Source organism: Homo sapiens, chromosome 20, assembly GCF_000001405.40.
Source record: "Homo sapiens chromosome 20, GRCh38.p14 Primary Assembly".
Taxonomy (NCBI): Eukaryota; Metazoa; Chordata; class Mammalia; order Primates; family Hominidae; genus Homo; species Homo sapiens.
In genome coordinates, this window is record NC_000020.11 from 35,144,459 (window position 1) to 35,166,957 (window position 22,499).

The 22,499-nt window shown below is 46.7% G+C and overlaps 2 protein-coding genes across 4 annotated transcripts in view, besides 2 other annotated features; both read right to left on the reverse strand.

The window, feature by feature from the left end:
• The window catches only part of EDEM2 (ER degradation enhancing alpha-mannosidase like protein 2), a 31,973-nt gene extending 29,095 nt beyond the window's left edge, over window positions 1-2,878 (reverse strand). The window contains exons 1-3 of one of the 3 annotated variants that reach the window (NM_018217.3): window positions 2,694-2,878; window positions 2,367-2,477; window positions 521-560 (exon numbers count right to left, since the gene is read on the reverse strand). In NM_018217.3, the coding sequence (NP_060687.2) occupies window positions 521-560; window positions 2,367-2,477; window positions 2,694-2,800 (258 nt within the window). In that variant the 5' untranslated portion in view covers window positions 2,801-2,878. Of the gene's footprint in view, window positions 1-520; window positions 561-2,366 lie in introns of all 3 variants that reach the window. The other 2 variants (NR_026728.2, NM_001145025.2) reach the window with 2 other exon arrangements.
• MMP24-AS1-EDEM2 (MMP24-AS1-EDEM2 readthrough) overlaps window positions 1-22,499 on the reverse strand; it is a 162,759-nt gene that overhangs the window by 29,095 nt on the left and 111,165 nt on the right. The window contains exons 5-7 of the mRNA NM_001355008.2: window positions 21,329-21,413; window positions 2,367-2,477; window positions 521-560 (exon numbers count right to left, since the gene is read on the reverse strand). Coding sequence (NP_001341937.1) covers window positions 521-560; window positions 2,367-2,461 — 135 coding nt within the window. The 5' untranslated portion in view covers window positions 2,462-2,477; window positions 21,329-21,413. The remainder of the gene's footprint in view (window positions 1-520; window positions 561-2,366; window positions 2,478-21,328; window positions 21,414-22,499) is intronic.
• Window positions 2,060-2,663: an enhancer, noted in NCBI's record as "H3K27ac hESC enhancer chr20:33734321-33734924 (GRCh37/hg19 assembly coordinates)". NCBI's record gives its function as "activates a minimal SCP1, AML or CMV promoter by ChIP-STARR-seq in primed H9 embryonic stem cells {active_cell/tissue: H9 hESC(primed)}" and the evidence as "EXISTENCE:reporter gene assay evidence [ECO:0000049][PMID:30033119]".
• Window positions 2,912-3,041: an enhancer, noted in NCBI's record as "active region_17774". NCBI's record gives its function as "activates an Ori minimal core promoter by ATAC-STARR-seq in GM12878 lymphoblastoid cells {active_cell/tissue: GM12878}" and the evidence as "EXISTENCE:reporter gene assay evidence [ECO:0000049][PMID:35858748]".

Here is a 22,499-nt window from a genome sequence, read left to right on the forward strand (position 1 = left end):
CAGTAGCTGGGATAACAGACATGTGCCACTATGCTGGGCTAATTTTTTGTATTTTAATAGAGATGGAGTTTCACCATATTGGCCAGGCTGGTCTCAAACCCCTGACCTCAGGTGATCTGCCTGCCTCGGCCTTCCAAAGTGCTGGGATTACAGGTGTGAGCCACCATGCTCAGCCTGATACCCTTTTATTATCATTGAACATGGCCACTAGAATGTAAGCCTCTGAAAACAGGAGATGTCAAAGTCTCTGTATCCCCCATAGAGCTATGCAAGCCTATCACAATTCTCCGTACATAACAGGTCCTCTATAAATGTTTGCTAAATAAATGAATCTGCATAAGTTGTAGTTCGTTTTTCCCCTATCTAGCTAGGCAACCACAGCCGGACGCTTCAGAATCATGAGATGCAAATAAAAGGCCTAGGAGAGGAATTCATTTTTCACCCACAGTCACGCTGCCAAAAGAGGAAGGATGTTGGTTATGTAACAGTGGAAAGGAAAAGAAACAGACGAGATACTTACCAGCAAGGTGTCCAGTGCATCAATTAGAGTCAGAGAAAAACTGCAAAAGGACAGAAATCCCAGCCGCTTAGTAAGAAAATCAAATACCAGATATTATGGCTGCCCTAGATCTGATCCCCCTAAAACTAAATGAGGCAAAGTAATGCCTCTGCCTGTCCCACTTACAGTCACAACAGAGAAACCACAGTGAAAATCGCAGGTATTCTCTGACCCACTTAATGCACCTGGGAGGGTTGGCTGATGTAGCTCAATTGTAATTAAATACATCACCTATAGTCTGGCATTCTCCTCTACCATTGGGAGGCAGTATAAGATTGCAGCTTAAAGCACAGGCCTTTCACCAATTTTCACCTCTAGGAATTTAATTCACAGTGAACAGCTGTTTGAGAGTGTTCATGGCAGTATTGCTTAGAACAGCAAGAGGCTGGAAAGAACCCAACTGTCCACCCATTAATGGGTGATTAAACTGTGTTATAAACAGTGCAAAACTATGAGTTATCAAAAAGATTGTTATCAAGACTTCTATGTGCTGATGGAAAGACATTCGAATTGTTTTTAATGAAAAAGTCAGGGTGGTTTAGTATGTTTCCATCTGTTTCAAAAAGACATGCTGACAGAAAGCAGACAGCAATTGTTAGGGTCAGTGGTGGTGCAGGGATGAACTATAAAGGGCCACAAGGGAACTTTTTAAAGTGACAGAAGTGTTTCATATCTTGACTGTGATGGTGGTCACTTCAAACGAGTGTAGGCTGGGCACAGTGGCTCATGCCTGTAATCCGCCAGCACTTTGGGAGGCCTAGGTGGGTGGATCACCTGAGGTCAGGAGTTCAAGACCAGCCTGGCCAAATGACAAAACCCCGTCTCCACAAAAAAATTAGCCGGGTGTGGTGGTGGGCTCCTGTAATCCCAACTACTTGGGAGGCTGAGGCAGGAGAATCGCTTGAAGCCAGGAGGCGGAGTTTGAAGTGAGCCAAGATCACGCCATTGCACTCCAGCCTGGGTAACAAGAGCGAAACTCCATCTCAAAAAAAAAAAAAAAAAAAAAAGAGTGTATTTTATTATATGTAAATTATGCCTTTAAGAAGTTCATTTTAAAAAGATACACATACACACATCTATATATATAATGGTATAAACCAAGAATATTTCTGGACAGATACAAAGGAAAGTTAATAGTTGGAATTCTAGGGTATGGGAGATATTTATTGTATATAATCTTTTACCACTTGAATTTGCCATTTGTATTTACTTTGTTTCAACTTAAAAAAATAAAAACCATCACAAGTTTTGAGTTTAATTTCTCCCGACCTTAGCACATTCGTGTGTAAAACAGGGATAATGGCACCTAACTCGTAGGGGTATTAAGATACTGAGCTGAGATCTGAATGACAAGCAGCAGCCAGTGATGGGAGGAAAATGGGGAGTGTATTTCAGGCACGGGGCACACCAACTACAAAGACTTAAGTTTTAGGAGTGTCACACTCCTTCCTGGATCTGAATGCCCACCTACATAATGAAAGGGGTGGGTTTTCTAATTCTTGGAGCCCTTCCACGGTATCTCGTTACTCCAGAAATTGCCTATGTCCCCACAGCTGATGCCTGTTACTGCTGGGGCTGAGCTCAGCGATCCAGCCCACCCGGCTAATCCAGGACTTTTTTTTTCACTGCGAGAGGCTAAGTGGATCCTGGAGGTGATAGTAAGAATTGCGGGGAGCGCGGCTCTAGCTCAGCTGGGAGCTTTCTGGTGCCGGTGAGGAGACCATGAAGCCACCAGCCCCAGCTGACCCGCCCGCCGAGGCCCAGAGAGTCAGACCCTGGCCGCCCCTTGCCCCTCCGCTCGCACTACCTGCCCCAGGTGTCGTGCCCGTCACAGGTGAGAGGTCGCAGCTCATCGAAGGGAAAGGCATTCTCCAGGTAGCTGTCGTAGGCGTGGTAGAACATGGCCTTGACTCGCTCCCTGGGTGGGGGACGAGAAATCAGGCATGGGGCAAGAACACAAAAACAAGCGGGGGAAGAACAAGATACAGGGCGGAAAGTGGGAATCACTAGCTGATTTCTCCCTGGGACCTAGCGGCTGTGTCGGAGCAAGTCGGGGTCTGGGATGGACGGAAAGGGAAAGGACCGGGTTCACGCTTCCCATTCCCCAACTGCGAAAGGGCGGGTCACAGTTCACCTGTAGTGGGCGGGATCTGGCGCGGAGCCGTCGGGACCTGGCGCACCATGGTGCTGAGGCAGCAGCGCGCACAGGAGGCCGAGCGGGATGAGCAGCCGGAAAGGCATAGAGCTCGTGTCCTCTCAGCGCCCCCGCAGCAGCAGCAGCCACTGCAACCAGTTCATCCTGGGAGCTGCTGCGGGTTCTTCCGGGAATCCGCGCCACTGCGCCTGCGCGCTGAGAAATCAGCCTCTCACTTCCGGACTACAAGCCCCTGAATGCAATGGGCAGCGAAACGCGGCCGAAGAGCAACTTCGGATGTACGGTTTCGGCAACACTGATCAACGTGTCTTAAAGTCAGTGGCTGTTGTTACTACTGTTATTAATTAATGTTTTAATAATAACAGCTAGCATGTATTGAGCACTTATTGTGTACTAGTACTGTACGGAGCATTTAAAATGCATTCTCTCATTCATTTTTTTCAACAACCTTATTAAGTATGAAGGCAGGGTAAGCATGAGAAATGTTCAGCCTTTACCATTATTACCTAGCAGGACAAGCCGCAGACAAAACTCCTCAGACACCGGGTTAAAGAAGGAAGGAGCTTTATTCGGCCGGGAGCGTCAGCTGACTCACTTCTCAAAAACGGAGCTCCCCGAGTGAGCAATTCCTGTCCCTTTTAAGAGCTTACAACTCTAAGGGGGTCCGCGTGAGAGGGTCGTGATTGATTGAGCAAGCAGGGGGTACGTGACTGATTACCGGTGCACCGGTAATCAGAACGGAACAGAACAGGACAGGGATTTTCACAATGCTTTTCCATACAATGTCTGGAATCTATAGATAATATAACCGGTTAGGTCAGGAGGGGTCGATCTTTAATTACCAGGCCTGGAATGCATCGCCGGGCTGTCTGACTACTGATTTCACTTCTGTCTTTCTTTTAACTCCTACATTTTCTTTGAGGCAGAAATTGGGCATAAGACAATATGAGGGGTGGTCTGCTCCCTTATTTAGGGATATTGAGTTTCCCAAACCAGTTACTTGTTGATTGTATAAGACACAACTCACATTTATTTGTCCAAAACTTCCACTCTTTTTTTTTTAAAACCTCTTGCATTTTCCGATGCTGTCACTCTTGAGGTTTCCTGAAATCCCGTCAGTTCTAGGAATTCATGACACTTCTCTCCTCCCAATTTGGGATGTGGTTACACAATCATGGTCCCTTCAGTCTCCATCTCAAACCGGAAGCTTTACCCCTGTCAGCCCTGTAGAATGTCTTGGGTAAGAATGAATACCCTGGTTGGGCGCGGTGGCTCACGCCTGTAATCCCAACACTTTGGGAGGTTGAGGTGCGTGGATCACCTGAGGTTAAGAGATAGAGACCAACCTGGCCAACATGGTGAAACCCCGTCTTTACTAAAAATACAAAAATTAGCCAGGGGTGGTGGCGGGTGCCTGTAAATCCCGGCTACTCGGAAGGCTGAGGCCGGAGAATCGCTTGAAACCGGAAGGCGGAGGTTGCAGTGAGCGAGGATCGCGCCACTCCACTCCAGCCTGGGCAAAACAGCAAAACTCCATATCAAAAAAAAAAAAAAAAAAAAAAAAAAAAAGACAAATGACTACCCTGGGGCACTATAGCTTTCAGGAGGTTTGTGATCCATTTCTCCATTCCCCTTATTCCCAAGTTTCTAAAATTTGGTCAGCACCTTAGACCACAGCAACACCCATGACTTTGGTCAGTGTGACATGCGGTAGAACCAACACTGGATTTGAAGTCAGATCTAGGATCCAGTTAATTACAACTCTGTCACTCATCTATAACCTGTGTATGTGACCCTCTCCTTCTCTGGGGCTAGCATCCTTGTCTATAAATAATGAGGAGTTTGAACAAATGGATCTTTAAGATCCTTTTCGGTCGAGCTTTCTATGATTCTAGGATTGGCTATCTCTTATTTGCTGAAAAAGTCAGATGGAAGTGATAGCTCAGTTTGTTGAGCCAGAGTGCAGCCAGGCCTCCCAAAGTGCTGGGATTACAGGCATAAGCCACTGTACCCAGCCTGGGATGTTTTTAGAAACTCTTCTTGGCCGGGTGCAGTGGCTCACGCCTGTAATCCCAGCACTTTGGGAGGCCAAGGCGGGCGGATCACGAGGTCAGGAGTTCAAGACCAACCTGGCCAATATGGTGAAACCCTGTCTCTACTAAAAATACAAAAATTGGCCGGGAGTGGTGGCAGACGCCTGTAGTCCCAGCTACTCAGGAGGCTGAGGCAGGAGAATCGCTTGAACCCGGGAGGTGGAGGTTGTAGTGAGCCAAGATCAAGATCAGGCCACTGCACTCCAGCCTGGGAGACAGAGCGATACTCTGTCTCAAAAAAAAAAAAAAAAAAGAAACTCTTCTTGGGGCTTCCAAATGGAAGGGAAAGGAGATGACAGTAAGCTGAGACCTGGATAACAACACAGGAGCACTGTATTCGTTTCCTGTGATTCCTGCAACAAATTACCACAAACCAAGTGGCTTAAAGCAACAGAAATTTATTCTCTCGCAGTTTGGGAGGTCAGGAGCCTGAAATCAATTTCACTGGGCTAAAATTAAGTTATTGACAGGGCCACACCCACTCCAAAGGCTCTAAGGGATAATCCGTTCCTTGCCTCTCTAGATTCTCCTGACTGCTGGCATTCCTTGGCTTATGGTTGTATCACTCCAGTATCTGCCCGTGCCTTCATATCGCCTTCTCTGTGGATGTGTCACATCTCCTTCTGCTTTTCTCTTATAAGGACATTTATAATTGCATTTAGGACCCCCCCCGCGCCCCCCCCAACCCAGATAATACAGGATAAACTCCCATTCCAAGATTTTTAACTTAATCACATCTAGGGGGAAAAAAAAAAAAAAACACCATTTTTCCAAATAGAGAAACATTTACAGTTTCCAGAGATTAGGACCTGGACTTTAGGTGGCTGTTTCCAGCCTAGCGCAGGGACTAAATATTTTTCAGACCTGGGCCTTTCCCTGTGACGAAATTCACCTTCTCCATATTATAAATCCTATAGCTTATCTTTTTGTCTCCCATTCAAAATTCTAGTGTGGATAAAACTTTTGCAGGAAGGGTGGGTTCAGGTTGCCTGGATTTGGTAACGATAGGTCTCTCTTTATGAGCAAGATTGAAACACTCATGATTTTCCTTTATATTCTTTTTCTAGCTTGATGTCATTCTCCACACTGTCACTGAACAAATAAAACCATGACTTACGTTTTCACAATTCATGTGACTATATGTTCTCTAATGAGAATAAAAAAATTGTTTTACCCTCTGGAAAGTATCAGGACTCTTCTTTCTCTCACTCTGTGTTTATGATATTGGATTCTAGAAGGTTATGACCCACCAGTGAAGTGTCACACTTGAGCATTTACTTGTGAAGAGACTCAGGGTAAGTTGCCTACCTCTCTGAGACTCAATTTCCTATTGTAAAATACAGAAATTGATGAGGCCATAAAGGAATTCTGGGAATTAAATGGGATAATGAAAGTGAACATTCTCAGCACAGTGACTGGTATATATTAAATTCTTGATACATATTAATTCTCTTCCCTGCCTCCCCAACTCTTCTTTTTTTTTTAAGGCAGGGCAGTTGTTTCCATTTACTGAGCATCTGCCCCGAGTCATCCAAGGTGTTATAGGCAATAGTTCCTACCCTCAAAAGTTTGAGGCACAGTGCTGAGCATATAACTAAGATTCCAAAATAATCAAGTCATAGTCCTTTCCCTTGAAGTGCTTGCAATTTTGTTAGAAGGGGAAGATGTCAATTGGAGAATACTTGGAATCATAGGGTGTTCAAGTCTTCCCTGTGGGTGAATAGAGTTTGGAGGGAGCTCAGATCACATCAGTATCTGAGGCCAATGTCCTCGGACTCTGTGTTCAGTGGAACAAGACTTGGACTGGTTGTCGGAAACCCTTGGTCTTGTTACTTGTTTATCCACTATCTCTGTGTGATCTCGGGCAAGTCATTTTCCCTTTTGGGGACTCAGTTTCCATATCTGGAAGATGAAAGAGTGAGACTATCTCTCAGCACAAGGAAAATATTAACAGATCCATACAGTTATTGCAAAAAATCAGAAAACAGAATTCAACACACATCGACTGCACAAATTTCCCCCAGAAACATCCATGAAGCAGAATAAAACAGTGGGACAGCATTCCAAATGGAATTTGACTATTTGCCAACTAAACAAGGAAGAGGAGGGGGATGGGGAGGGGGACAAGAAGAAGAAGGAGAAAATAGTCACGTGTATTGATAATAGCGAACATTTACATAGCAAGTAATGTTCTTTGTACTTTACATCCATCAACACCATTAATCCTTACCACAACCCTCTGAGAAAGTGTCATTATCACCATTTTATAAACCAAAAACCTGAAGCACAGATTCTAAGAATTGAAGAAAGATTTAGCAACTTAATCAATGTCTCATACCGAATAAGTAGAAGAGTCAAGATATGGACCCAAACAGCCTATACTCTAACGCATTAATGAAAATAATGACAAATATATAAATAAAAGGCCAACACAGAATTCAACAATGGAGATCTGGCGAACTGCTACAGTGTCCTCTAGCTTTAGCTTCATGTGGTTTTAGGGTCAACATTTCCTTCCCTTTTGCTAGAAAGTTAGAGGGAAAAGCTCAGTTCCCTGAAGTTGGAAGCCAAGGCATTTTAGATCCCCTTTGGCCAAGTACACTCGACCTCTTTTAGCAGGGAAGAATCCTTTTTGTAGCATCTGGAGGTCATTTGGTTCTCCCAACTCCCAAAGCAGGGCTTGCACAATACATACTTTTGACTTGCCAAAAAATAAGTTTATCCCTGGGAAATTTCCCATCCATCTGTTGCTTTGTAGAAATGCTTGAACTTTGCATGCAGTATGTCCAAACATTTCGATCGACTCCCTGGTTAGAGTCTCAGACCTCGTTATTATTATTATTATTATTTGAGATGAGAGTTTTACTCTCGTCACCCAGGCCATAGTGCAGTGGCGCGATCTTGGCTCACCACAACCTCCACTTCCTGGGTTCAAGTGATTCTCCTGCCTCAGCCTCCCGAGTAGCTGGGATTACAGGCATGCGCCACTATGCCCGGCTAATTTTTATATTTGTGGTAGAGACAGGGTTTCGCCATGTTGGCTAGGCTGGTCTCGAACTCCTGACCTCAGGTGATCCGCCCACCTCAGCCTCCCAAGGTGTTGGGATTACAGGCATTAGCCACCGTGCCTGACCTTACACTTTTATTCTTATTTTATTTTTCTTCTTTTTGAGATAGGGTCTCGCTCTGTCACCTAGGCACTATCACCACTCACTTCAGCCTCGACTTCCCAGGCTCAAGTGATCTTTCCACCTCAGCCTCCCAAGCAGCTGGGACCACAGATGCGTGACACTATGCCCAGCTAATTTTTAATTTTTTTGTAGAGACAAAGTCTCGCTGTATTGCCGAGGCCGGTCTTGAACTCCTGGGCTCAAGCAATCCTACCGCCTTGGTCTCCCAAAGTGTAGAGATTACAGAAATGAGCCACCACACCTGGCCTCAGACCACGTTTTTATTATGCTCATATTCCAAGTGAACTCAGACCTGTAGCTAAATCTGCCACAGAATTGTGCACTTTAAAATGGTTCAGATGGTAAGTTGTGTCACAAGTATTTTGTCACAATTTCTTAAAAATTAAAAAGTGAGCCCTCTCCCTCTCCCTCTCCCTCTCCCTCTCCCTCTCCCTCTCCGTCTCCCCACGGTCTCCCTCTCATGCGGAGCCGAAGCTGGACTGTACTGCTGCCATCTCGGCTCACTGCAACCTCCCTGCCTGATTCTCCTGCCTCAGTCTGCCGAATGCCTGCGATTGCAGGCACGTGCCGCCACGCCTGACTGGTTTTGGTGGAGACGGGGTTTCGCTGTGTTGGCCGGGCCGGTCTCCAGCCCCTAACCGCGAGTGATCCGCCAACCTCGGCCTCCCGAGGTGCCGGGATTGCAGACGGAGTCTCGTTCACTCAGTGCTCAATGGTGCCCAGGCTGGAGTGCAGTGGCGTGATCTCGGCTCGCTACAACCTACACCTCCCAGCCGCCTGCCTTGGCCTCCCTAAGTGCCGAGATTGCAGCCTCTGCCCGGCCGCCACCCCATCTGGGAAGTGAGGAGTGTCTCTGCCTGGCCGCCCATCGTCTGGGATGTGAGGAGCCCCTCTGCCTGGCTGCCCAGTCTGGAAAGTGAGGAGCGTCTCCGCCCGGCCGCCATCCCATCTAGGAAGTGAGGAGCGCCTCTTCCCAGCCGCCATCACATCTAGGAAGTGAGGAGAGTCTCTGCCCGGCCGCCCATCGTCTGAGATGTGGGGAGCGCCTCTGCCCCGCCGCCCCATCTGGGATGTGAGAGCGCCTCTGCCCGGCCGAGACCCCGTCTGGGAGGTGAGGAGCGTCTCTGCCCGGCCGCCCCATCTGAGAAGTGAGGAGACCCTCTGCCTGGCAACCGCCCCGTCTGAGAAGTGAGGAGCCCCTCCGCCCGGCAGCTGCCCCTACTGGGAAGTGAGGAGCCCCTCAGCCCGGCCAGCCACCCCGTCCGGGAGGGAGATGGGGGGGTCAGCCCCCCCACCCGGCCAGCCGCCCCGTCCGGGAGGGAGGTGGGGGGGTCAGCCCCCCACATGGCCAGCCGCCCCGTCCGGGAGGGAGGTGGGGGGGTCAGCCCTCCGCCCGGCCAGCCGCCCCGTCTGGGAGGTGAGGGGCGCCTCTGCCCGGCCGCCCCTACTGGGAAGTGAGGAGCCCCTCTGCCCGGCCAGCCGCCCCATCCGGGAGGGAGGTGGGGGGGTCGGCCCCCCGCCCGGCCAGCCGCCCCGTCCGGGAGGGAGGTGGGGGTGTCAGCTCCCCGCCCGGCCAGCCGCCCCGTCCGGGAGGGAGGTGGGGGGGTCAGCCCCCCGCCCGGCCAGCCGCCCCGTCCGGGAGGGAGGTGGGGGGGGTCAGCCCCCCTGCCCAGCCAGCCGCCCCGTCCGGGAGGTGAGGGGCGCCTCTGCCCGGCCGCCCCTACTGGGAAGTGAGGAGCCCCTCTGCCCGGCCAGCCGCCCCGTCCGGGAGGGAGGTGGGGGGGTCGGCCCCCCGCCCGGCCAGCCGCCCCGTCTGGTGGGGGTGTCAGCCCCCCGCCCGGCCAGCCGCCCCGTCCGGGAGGGAGGTGGGGGGGTCAGCCCCCCGCCCGGCCAGCCGCCCCGTCAGGGAGGGAGGTGGGGGGGTCAGCCCCCCGCCCGGCCAGCCGCCCCGTCCGGGAGTGAGGTGGGGGGGGTCAGCCCCCCTGCCCGGCCAGCCGCCCCGTCCGGGAGGTGAGGGGCGCCTCTGCCCGGCCGCCCCTACTGGGAAGTGAGGAGCCCCTCTGCCCGGCCACCACCCCGTCTGGGAGGTGTGCCCAACAGCTCATTGAGAACGGGCCAGGATGACAATGGCAGCTTTGTGGGATAGAAAGGCGGGAAAGGTGGGGAAAAGATTGAGAAATCGGATGGTTGCCGTGTCTGTGTAGAAAGAAGTAGACATGGGAGACTTTTCATTTTGTTCTGCACTAAGAAAAATTCCTCTGCCTTGGGATCCTGTTGATCTGTGACCTTACCCCCAACCCTGTGCTCCCTGAAACATGTGCTGTGTCCACTCAGGGTTAAATGGATTAAGGGCGGTGCAAGATGTGCTTTGTTAAACAGATGCTTGAAGGCAGCATGCTCGTTAAGAGTCATCACCAATCCCTAATCTCAAGTAATCAGGGACACAAACACTGCGGAAGGCCGCAGGGTCCTCTGCCTAGGAAAACCAGAGACCTTTGTTCACTTGTTTATCTGCTGACCTTCCCTCCACTATTGTCCCATGACCCTGCCAAATCCCCCTCTGTGAGAAACACCCAAGAATTATCAATAAAAAAATAAATTTAAAATTAAAAAAAAAAAAAAATTAAAAAGTGAGGCTGGGCACAGTGCCTCAAGCCTGTAATTCCAGCACTTTGGGAGGCTGAGGCGGGTGGATTGCTTGAGCCCAGGAATTTGAGACCAGCTTGGGCAACATGGCAAAACCCTGTCACTACAAAAAAAAAAAAATTAGCAGGGTGTTGTGGCATGTGTCCATAATCCCAGCTACTCAGGAGGCTGAGGTGGGAGGGTGGAATAAATGGAATGTGATCCAACAAAATTATTATTATTATTATTTTGATGATGTCTATTGCCCTTTTGAAATACCCAATTCTGGCAGGGTGCAGTGGTTCACGCCTATAATCCCAGCACTTTGGGAGGCCGAGGTGGGCAGATCACCTGAGGTCAGGAGTTTGAGAGCAGCCTGGCCAACAAACCCCATCTCTACTAAAAATACAAAAATTAGCCAGCTGTGTTGGTGAGCGCCTGTAATCCCAGCTACTTGGGAGGCTGAGGCATGAGAATTGCTTGAACCTGGGAGGTGGAGGTTGCAGTGAGCCGAGATCATGCCACTGCACTCCAGCCAGGGTGACAGAGCGAGACTCTGTCTCAAAAGAAAAAAAAAAAAAAAAAAGAAATACCCAATTCTTTCACAGAAAATATGTTCTTACTGGCTGGCGGGGAGAGGGGTGGTTGGTAAATGGGAAAAGGGTGCTTCCTTTGCTGATATCCAAAGCAGATACTTTCTCTGCCTATTTGATGATACAAAACTAGCCCTACCACACCAGGCTAAGGGAGAGAAGAGGATCCGTGTCCTACAGAATTCCCCCTATTAGCCTACCTGCCCCATAGCCCCCAAACTCTGCTGCTAATCAACTGTGCCAGGTCAGGAAGAAAGAAACTGGAGGGAAAGAAGAAGCCTAATAGATTGAAAATCCCTTCAGCAAACATTTTTTGAGAGCCTTATAACTGTTAGTGTCTACTGAATTAAACTTACTAGTGTTAAGAAAAATTATCTGAAACATGTTACTAAGGTAAAAAGATGATTGTGTGACTTTTTGCTGTCATGATAAAGCATTGACTAGCAAGTCTACTTGTCATCTGTCCCTGAAGAGAAACGTGACACTATTTTCATATTAATTACGGCCCAGACATTGTACAATTCTGTAAAGTAATAAGATGTGACAATTTCCTTTCCTGCCTGGTAGAGAAGATAATCCCAAAGGTTATGATATTATTACTCTGTAGGACATTAACCCATTTAGTATTTAATTTAGCAATCTTACTTCAATATTTTCCTTTTCCATTGACTATAAAAACTCAAGTTCTTTTTTCTTTTTTTTGAGACAGGTCTCACATTGTTGCCCAGGCTGGAGTGCAGTGGTTCGAACACGGCTCACTACAGTCTTGACCTCCCACATCCCAGGCTCAAGTGATCTTGCCTCAGTCCCTCAAGTAGCTGGGACTATAGGCATGTGCCACCATGGCCAGCTAATTTTTGTATCTTTTCGTATAGACGGGGTTTTGCCATGTTGCGCAGGCTGGTCTCAAACTCCTGGCTAAGCGATCCACCCACCTTGGCCTCCCAAAGTGCTGGGATTACAGATGTAATCCCACCATGCCCAGCCAAAACTCTAGTTCTTATATTCTATTTTGAACTGGCTTTGTCGTCCTGCTTGTCCCTTCATTAATGAGTTAAATGAAACTCTGACCCATGCTCACTGTCTATTTCAATGAGAATTATGGTTGGTTTTGTTTGTTTGTTTGTTTGTTTTGAGACAGAGTCTCGCTCCGTTGCCCAGGCTGGAGTGCAGTGGTGTGATCTTGGCTCACTGCAATCCCCGCCTCCCAGATTCAAATGATTCTTTTGCCTCAGCCTCCCAAGTAGCTGGGATTACAGGCACCTGCCACCACTCCCAGCTAATTTTTGTATTTTTAGTAGAGACGGGGTTTCATCACGTTGGCTAGACTGGTCTTGAACTCCTGACTTCAAGTGATCCATCCACTTTGGCCTCCCAAAGTGCCGGGATTTACAGGAGTGAGCCACTGCGCCTGGCCAAGAATTACATTTTTAACATGCTGACAGTTGTCCTTGACACTAAGTGTCAGACCCTGGATTAAGTAATTTATAGACCCATGATACTCCTTTGAGATAGTTTTTGTCCCCATTTTCCAGATGAGAAAGTGAAGGCACAAAAAGATAAAAGAAATTTTCTCAGTGCCAGTTTTGTGCCAGGAGCTTTACTAAGTTACAGTTTTTTTCTCCTTCCCTCGAAGTCCTGTTTATCTATTCATTGATTAAAAAAAAAAAAATCATTGAGTACTTACGATGTGCCAAATACTCTGCTAAGCTGGTAATACAGAACTTTAAAACACATTCTCTGCCCTCTTATGGCTTTTGGTGTGGAAGACAGATGCATAAATAGACAATTATCATTTAAAGAAGTAAGGGAGGAAAACTCTCTGAACTTATTCTGGTTTGGGGGCTGCCTGCAAAAAAATTAATTAATGAATTAATTAATTAAAAATTAAAAAAAATAAAAAGAACTAAGGGAAAGAGAGGGCTCCAGTAGAACAGAGGGAGCATCTAACCCTGGCTTGTGGACATGAAGTCAGGGAAGGCTTCCTGTAGTAGGTGACACCTGAGTATTCTAATAGGAATTAGTAGGGCTGAAGAAGGTGGTGGGAAGCACCTCAATTCAAAATTTTGATTCCTTTGTGTATTATGAAAGGCTCTTCTGACTCCTGCTTACCTCCTCATATCACTTCTTCCTTCCTATCACCTACTCCTATTTGGCCATACTTAAGTATTACTGCTTTCTCAAGTATGTTATATTCTCTCTCCTTTCCTATTATATTCTTTTGTACCTTCTTCACCCTGTACTTGAAACAACTTTTTCCTCACCCCTACTTGCCCCTTAGGCATTATCGGGGTTTTTTGTTTTTGTTTTTTTCTTTGTTTGTTTGTTTTTGAGACAGGGTCTTGCTCTGTCACCCAGGCTGGAGTGCAGTGGTGCGATCTCAGCTCACTGCAGCCTCAGCCTCCTGGGCTCAAGTGATCCTCCCACCTCAGCCTCCCGAGTTGCTAGGACTACAGGCACACGTCACCACGCCTGGCTAATTTTTGTATTTTTTGCAGAGCCCAGATGAACTCCTGGGCTCAAGCAATCCTCCCACCTCAGCCTCCCAAAGTGCTGGGATTACAGGTATGAGCCACCGGACCCGGCCTGGAAAGCATTCCTTTTTAAACCAGGAAAATGGCAAGAATATTCTCTTATATTCTCTATCACTTTTTTTTTTTTTTTTTCCTGGAGACAGAGTCTTGCTCTGTTGCCCAGGCTGGAGTGCAGTGGCACGATCTCGGCTCACTGCAGCCTCCGCCTCCTGGGTTCAAACGATTCTCCTGCCTCAGCCTCCTGAGTAGCTGGGATTACAGGCATGCACCACCACACCCAGCTAATTTTTGTATTTTTAGTAGAGATGGGGTTTCACCATATTGGCCAGGCTGGTTTCAAACTCCTGGCCTCGAGTGATCCACCCACCTCGGCCTCCCAAAATGCTGGGATTACAGGCGTGAGCCACTGTGCCTGGCCTTCTATTACTATCTCTGTTAAACATTGTACTAGAGGTTATAGCCAGAACAATAAGTTGAAACAAACATTATAAAAATTAAAAAAGAAGAAATAATCTGTCATTATCTATTGGTGCTATGAATATGCATGTAGAAAATCCAAAAGAGTCTAAAAATAATTATTATAACAAACAAAAGAATTTATTAAGGTTGCTAGAAACAAAACTAATGCAACAAAATCATCAGTACTTCTATATGCTGAGAATAAGCACACCATGAGATTTAAAAAAAAATTATTTGCAATAATATTTTTAAAATATGGAGAACTTGACTGGGTGCAGTGGCTCATGCCTGTAATCCCAGCACTTTGGGAGGCCAAGGCGGGCAGATCACTTGAGGTCAGAGTTTGAGACCAGCCTGGCCAACATGGTGAAACCCTGTCTCTACTAAAAATACAATTAGACTGGTATGGTGGTGTGTGCCTGTAACCCCAGCTACTCTGGAGGCTGAGGCAGGAAAATTGCTTGAATCTGGGAGGTGGAGGTTGCAGTGAGCCAAGATTGTGCCATTGCACTCCAGCCTGGGCAACAGAGCAAGACTCTGTCTCAAAAAATATATATACGTATGTATATATGAAGAACTTAGAGGGGAAAACTTAACAGAGGATGGGCCATATGTTCAGAGAGAAAATTATGAAACTCTGAGAGATACCAAAAAAGATGTAAACAAATGAAAAAAATACACCCTATCATGCACTGGATGATTCAATATTGTGAAGATGTCAATTCTTCCCAGTCATTTACATGCTAAATGCAATACCAACCAAAACTTCATCAACGTGATAAAAAAGATTCCAAAATTTAGGTGTAGACGTTCAAATATTCAAAAATAGCTAAGACACTCTTGAAGAACAAAGAGGAAAGGCTTGATCTACAAGATATAAATACATTATGAAATAATACTAATCGAGGGCCAGGCACTGTGGCTCACGCCTGTAATCCCAGCACTTTGGAAGGCCAAGGCAGGTGGATCACCTGAGGTCAGGAGTTCGCGAGCAGCCTGACCAATATGGAGAAACCCCGTCTCTACTAAAAACACAAAATTAGCCGGGTGTCATGGCGTGTGCCTGTAATCCCAGCTACTCGGGAGGCTGAGGCAGGAGAATCTCTTGAACCCGGGAGGCAGAGGTTGCGGTGAGCTAAGATCCTGCCATTGCACTCCAGCCTGGGCAACAAGAGTGAAACACCGTCTCAAAAAAAAAAAAAAAAAAAGAGAAAAAAAAATTTAAAAAAAAAAGAAATAATACTAATTGAGATAATGAGCATTGGTACCAGGTGAGACAACTGGACCACTGAAACAGAATAGACATATTTACTGTAAGTCAGAGATGCCACTGCAGATCAGTAAGGAAAGGCCAACTTTTGATAACTGGTTCTGTCTGGGACAGTGGATATCCATTAAAAGAAACTAATCTTGACCTCCACTTCATACCATACCTCAAGGTGAAAGACAAAACTAAAAAGCTTTGAACATAAACAGAATATCTTCATGACCTTGGGGTTTAGGGAAGGGTTGCTTAAATAAGGCACAAAAAGTACAAACTGTAAAGGAATAGGTTGATAAACATAACCACCTTAAAATTAGGAACTTTTGTTTATCTAAAGACATGATAAAGAAAGTGCAAAGCGGCTGGGCGCGGTGGCTCATGCCTGCAATCCCAGCACTTTGGGAGGCTAAGGTGGGAGGATCACTTGAGCCCAGAAGTTTGAGACCAGCCTGGGCAGCATAGCAAGACCTCATCTCTACAAAAATAAGGTTTTTTAAAAAAAAAAAAACTGTGACGGTTAAACCACCTACTCAAGACTCAGCAATGGTGGATGCCCTACGACACCTAGGTGGCGTAGCCTACTATACCCCTAGGCTCCTTGGTATAGCCTATTGCTCCTAGGCTACAAACCTGTAGAACATGTTATGATCCTGAATACTTTAGGCAACTGTAACACAACGGAAATATTTGTGCATCTTAAGAAATCTAGGATTTGCTGGCAAGATGGCCAAATAGGAAGAGCTCTGGTCTGCAGCTCCCAGTGAGATCGATGCAGAAGGTGGGTGATTTCTGCATTTCCAACTGAGGTACCCGGTTTATCTAATTGGGACTGGATGGGCAATGGGTGCAGCCCACGGAGGGCAAGCCGAAGCAGGGTGGGGCGTCGCATCACCCAGGAAGTGCAAGAGGTTAGGGGATATCCCCCCTAGCCAAGGGAAGCGGTGAGGGACTGTGCCCTGGGAAATGGTGCACTACGGCCCAGATACTGCGCTTTTCCCAAGGTCTTCGCCACCTGTAGACCAGGAGATTCCCTCTGGTGCCTACGCCACCAGGGCCCTGGGTTTCAAGCACAAAACTGGGCGGCCATTTGGGCAGACACCGAGCTAGCTGCAGGAGTTTTCTTTTTTTTTTTTCATACCCCAGTGGTGCGTGGAACGCCAGCAAGATAGAATCGTTCACTCTGCAGGCTGGGCGCGGTGGCTCATGCCTGTAATCCCAGCACTTTAGGAGGCCAAGGTGGGCAGATCACGAGGTCAGAAGTTCGAGACCACCCTGGCCAACATGGTGAAACCCCGTCTCTACTCAAAATACAAAAATTAGCTGGGTATAGCAGTGGGGGCCTGTAATCCCAGCTACTCAGGAGGCTGGGGCAGGAGAATCACTTGAACCCAGGAGGTGGAGCTTGCAGTGAGCTGAGATTGCACCACTGCACTCCAGCCTGGACGACAGGGCGAGACTCCGTCTCAAAAAAAAAACAAAAAAAAAAAAACAGGTTTGTTCAATCCGCTGGAAAGGGGGCTGAAGCCAGGGAGCCAAGTGGTCTGGCTCCATGGGTCCCACCCCCACAGAGCTCAGCAAGCTAAGATCCACTGGCTTGAAATTCTCGCTGCCAGCACAGCAGTCTGAGGTCGACCTGGGATGCTTGAGCTTGGTGGTGGGAGGGGTTGTCCGCCATTGCTGAGGCTTGAGTAGGTGGTTTTACCCTCACAGTGTAAACAAAGCTGCAGGGAAGTTCAAACTGGGTGGAGCCCACCACAGCTCAGCAAGGCTGCTGTGGCCAGACTGCCTCTCTAGATTCCTCTTCTCTGGGCAGGGCATCTCTGAAAAAAAGGCAGCAGCCCCAGTCAGGGACTTACAGATAAAACCCCTGGCCAGCACGGTGGCTCACGCCTGTAATCCCAGCACTTTGGGAGGCCGAGACGAGTGGATCATTTGAGGTCAGGAGTTTGAGACTAGCCTGACTAACATGGTGAAACACCATCTCTACTAAAATACAAAAAAAATGAGCCAGGCGTGGTGGCAGGGGCCTGTAATCCCAGCTACTCGGGAGGCTGAGGCAGGAGAATTGCTTGTACCCAGGAGGTGGAGGTTGCAGTGAGCCGAGATTGTGCCACTGCACTCTAGCCTGGGTGATAGAGTGAGACTCTATCTCAAAAAAAAAAAAAAATCTCCCTGGGACAGAGCACCTGGGGGAAGGGGTGGCTTGGAAACAGCTTCAGCAGACTTAAACGTCCCTGCCTGATGGCTCCGAAGAGAACTCCCAGGACAACATTCGAGCTCTGATAAGGGTCAGACTGCCTCCTCAAGTGGGTCCCTGACCCCTATGTATCCTGACTGGGAGACACCTCCCATAGGGGCCAACAGACACCTCATACAGAAGAGCTCTCGCTGGCATCTGGTGGGTGCCTCTCTGGGACAAAGCTTCTAGAGGAAGGAACAGGCAGCAATCTTTGCTGTTCTGCGGCCTCCAGTGGTGATACCCAGGCAAACAGGGTCTGGAGTGGACCTCCAGCAAACTCCAGAAGACCTGCAGCAGAGGGGCCTGACTGTTAGAAGGAAAACTAACAAATACAAAGGAATAGCATCAACATCAACAAAAAGGACGTCCACTCAGAGACCCCATCTGAAGGTCACCAACATCAGAGACCAAAGGTAGATAAATCCATGAAGATGGGGAGAAACCAGCACAAAAAGGCTGAAAATTCCAAAAACCAGAATGCCTCTTCTCCTCCAAAGGATCACAATTCCTTGCCAGCAAGGGAACAAAACTGGAAACAGAGAATGAGTTTGAAGAATTGACAGAAGTAGACTTCAGAAGGTGGGTAATAACAAACTCCTCCGAGCTAAAGGAGCATGTTCTAACCCAATGCAAGGAAGCTAAGAACCTTGAAAAAAGGTTAGATGAATTGCTGACTAGAATAACCGTTTAGAGAAGAACATAAATGACCTGATGGAGCTGAAAAACACAGCACGAGAACTTCGTGAAGCATACACAAGTATCAATAGCCGAATTATCAAGCAGAAGAAAGGATAACAGAGATTGAAGATCAGCTTAATGAAATAAAGCGAGAAGACAAGATTAGAGAAAAAAGAATGAAAAGAAACAAAGCCTCCAAGAAATATGGGACTATGTGAAAAGACCAAATCTACATTTGGTTGGTGTACCTGAAAGTGACAGGGAGAATGGAACCAAGTTGGAAAACACTCTTCAGGATATTATCTAGGAGAACTTCCCCAACCTAGCAAGACAGGCCAACAATCAAATTCAGGAAATACAGAGAACACCACAAAATCAATGTGCAAAAATCACAAGCATTCCTATACACCAATAACAGACAGAGCCAAATCATGAGTGAACTCCCATTCACAATTGCTACAAAGAGAATAAAATACCTAGGAATACAACTTACAATGGATATGAAGACCTCTTCAAGGAGAACTACAAACCACTGCTCAAGGAAATAAGAGGTCACAAATAAATGGAAAAACAATCCATGCTTATGTATAGGAAGAATCAATATCGTGAAAATGGCCATACTGCCCAAAGTAATTTATAGATTCAATGCTATTCCCATCAAGCTACCATTGACTTCCTTCACAGAACTGGAAAAAACTACTTTAAATTTAATATGGAACAAAAAAGAGCCCCCGTATCCAAGACAATCCTAAGCAAAAAGAACAAAGCTGGAGGCATCACGCTACCTGACTTCAAACTATAGTACAAGGCTACAGTATACAAAACAGCATGATATACCAAAACAGATATATAGACCAATGGAACAGAACAAAGCCCTCAGAAGTAACACCACACATCTACAACCATCTGATCTTTGACAAATCTGACAAAAACAAGCAATGGGGAAAGGATTCCCTGTTTAATAAATGGTGTTGGAAAAACTAGCTAGCTATATGCAGAAAACTGAAACTGGACCCCTTCCTTACACCTTATACAAAAATTAACTCCAGATGGATTAAAGACTTAAACATAAGACCTAAAACCATAAAAACCCTAGAAGAAAACCTAGGCAATACCATTCAGGACATAGGCATGGGCAAAGATTTCATGACTAAAACACCAAAAGCAATGGCAACAAAAGCCAAAATTGGCAAATGGGACCTAATTAAACTAAAGAGCTTCTGCACAGCAAAAGAAACTATCATCAGAGTGAACAGGCAACCTACAGAATGGGAGAAAATTTTTGCAATCTATCCACCTGACAAAGGGCTAATATCCAGAATCTACAAAGAACTTAAACAAATTTACAAGAAAAAAAACAACTCCATCAAAAAGTGAGCAAAGGATATGAACAGACACTTCTCAAAAGAAGACATTTATGTGGCCAAAAAACATATGAAAAACAGCTCATCATCACTGGTCATTAGAGAAATGCAAATCGAAACCACAATGAGATACTATCTCATGCCAGTTAGAATGATGATCATTAAAAAGTCAGGAAACAACAGATGCTGGAGAGGATGTGGAGAAATAGGAATGCTTTTACACTGTTGGTGGGAGAGTAAATTAGTTCAAACATTGTGGAAGACAGTGTGGTGATTCCTCAAGGATCTAGAACCAGAAATACCATTTGACCCAGCAATCCCATTACTGGGTATAAGGATTATAAATCATTCTACTATAAAGAATACATGCAGAGGTATGTTTACTGTGGCACTATTCACAACAGCAAAGACTTAGAACCAACCCAAATGCCCATCAGTGATAGACTGGATAAAGAAAATGTGGCACATATATACCATGGAATACTATGCAGCCATAAAAAAGGATGAGTTCATGTCCTTTGCAGGGACATGGATGAGGCTGAAAACCATCATTCTCAGCAAACTAACACAAAAACAGAAAACCAAACACTGCATGTTATCACTCATAAGTGGGAGGTGAACAATGAGAACACATGGACACAGGGAGGGGAATATCACATACCAGGGCCTGTCAGGGGGTAGGGGGCTAGGGGAGGGATAGCATTAGGAGAAATACCTAATGTAGATGACGGGTTGATGGGTACAGCAAACCACCATGACAAGTGTATACCTGCGTAACAAACCTGCACATTCTGCACATGTACCCCAAACTTAAAGTATAATAAAAATTAAAAAAAGAAATCTAAACACAGAAAAGGTACAGTAAAAATATGGTATAGTCGATTTTAAAAGGTACACCTGTAGAGTGTGTACTTCATGCATGGAGCTTGAAGGACTTGGTGTTGCTCTGAGTGGGTCAGTGAGTGAGTGGTGAGCAAATGTGATGGCCTACGACATTACTGTACACTACTGTAGAATTTATCAATACTGTTCACTTAGGCTGCACTAAGTTTATGCAAAAATATTTTTCTTTCTTCAGTAATAAATTAACCTTAGCTTACTGTAAAAAAAAAAAAAGTGAAAAGTTAATATTTATGTGTTCTGTGTTCAGGAAACCAGGAGGAATGGATTTGGCTGAAACTGGAATACATGGATAGATAAGGCTAGAGAGATAGGCAGGAGCCAAGCCAACAATACTAGGCTCCCATCAATTGCTGGGGCAGGCAAGAGCAGGCATCATCCTGAGTGTTTGGAGCTTCTTTTCATGTTCCCTAAGTTGGGGGGTGTTGGGGGGATGATACAGGGGGAAATTCTGATTAAGACTTAACATCTATTCCTTTGCCTTCTCTTCAAGAAGTCATACTTGATGTCCATCCCTCCTGGACAGGGTCCGTTCTGTTTGCTGCTAAGCTCCTTTCTTATCTCTCCCACCTACTGAACACGTACTGTGTTCTGGGAGTTTTGAATGCATCATCTTGTTTATCCTCATGAGATGGTCTAATAATGAAGAAAGCATGTTTTGGCATCCAACTCACCTGGGTATGAGTCCCAGCTCTGCCTTTTACTAGCTGGATGTCTTTGAGCAGCTCAGTTCCCTGTTCTGTGCTTCTGTGTCCTCATCTGTAAAATGGGAACGACGGCTATTTCTTCAGACTGCCCTCCCTCCCTCCTTTTCTGTCTCCCTCCCTCCCTCCCTTCCTCCCTCCCTCTTTCCCCCTTCTTCTTTTCTTTTCTTTCTCTCTTTCTTTCTTTTCTTCTTTCCTTCTTTCTTTTTTCTTTCTCCTTCTTTCCTTCCTTCCCTCCTCTCTCTCTCTCTTTATTTCTGTCTGCCTGTCTTTCAACAGGGTCTTGCTATATTACCCAGGCTGGTCTCAAACTCCTGGACTCAAGCAATCCTCCCAGCTTGGCCCCCCAAAGTGCTAGGATTACAGGCCTGAGCACCTGGCCTGGACTTTCTTCAGACTTTTCACAGGGTACTAGTGAGAAAAAAATACATGGACTCTGCTTACTTAATACTGTGCCTGGCACATTGTAAGCTCTTCGCACATGTTATTGTTATTATTCCTCATCCTAAGGGGGAAGTGCCTTTGAAGGGTCCACACTCCTTTGTTACCCAAATTGGGCCAGGTTGCTTAAACTGCCGTTCTTCAGTAGCTAACAACAGGGGTGGGAGAGCCTGGTCCTCTGAAGTCCAGCTGGGCACACGGCCAGTCCCTGGCCTGTCCCTGCTCCTGCTGCCCTGGCAAGGCCTCCCTCACCCACTGGGGCTGCACCAGCACTGGCCCCAGCTCAGCTTCCTGTCTCCCTTATCTTCCTCCAGCATGTGCTCTCTGGAGTAGGAAACACCACCGCTTGCTTCCTTCATTTCCCTTTGCTCAACGGGACCCTCATTCTTTAGGTCTCAGTCAAATCCCAGCTGCTGGCCTGGTGCCCACTCTGTGATTTTCTACACCTCAGCCACCCAGGCCAGATGCAGTGTAGGCCATGGCTCCAACAGCAGCATTTCTCTTTTCTTCCCCACCCCCATCCCTGGGTTTAGAATGAGAAAAGGCTCAAGTTGCCCCCCTCCCAACTTCCCTACCCGCAACACTCTTTTTATTTTCTCTGTTCCCAGCTCCATACTTCCATGCTTTTTTTTTTTTTTTTTTTTTTTTTTGAGATGGAGTCTTGTTCTGTTGCCCAGGCTGGAGTGCAGTGGCAGGATCT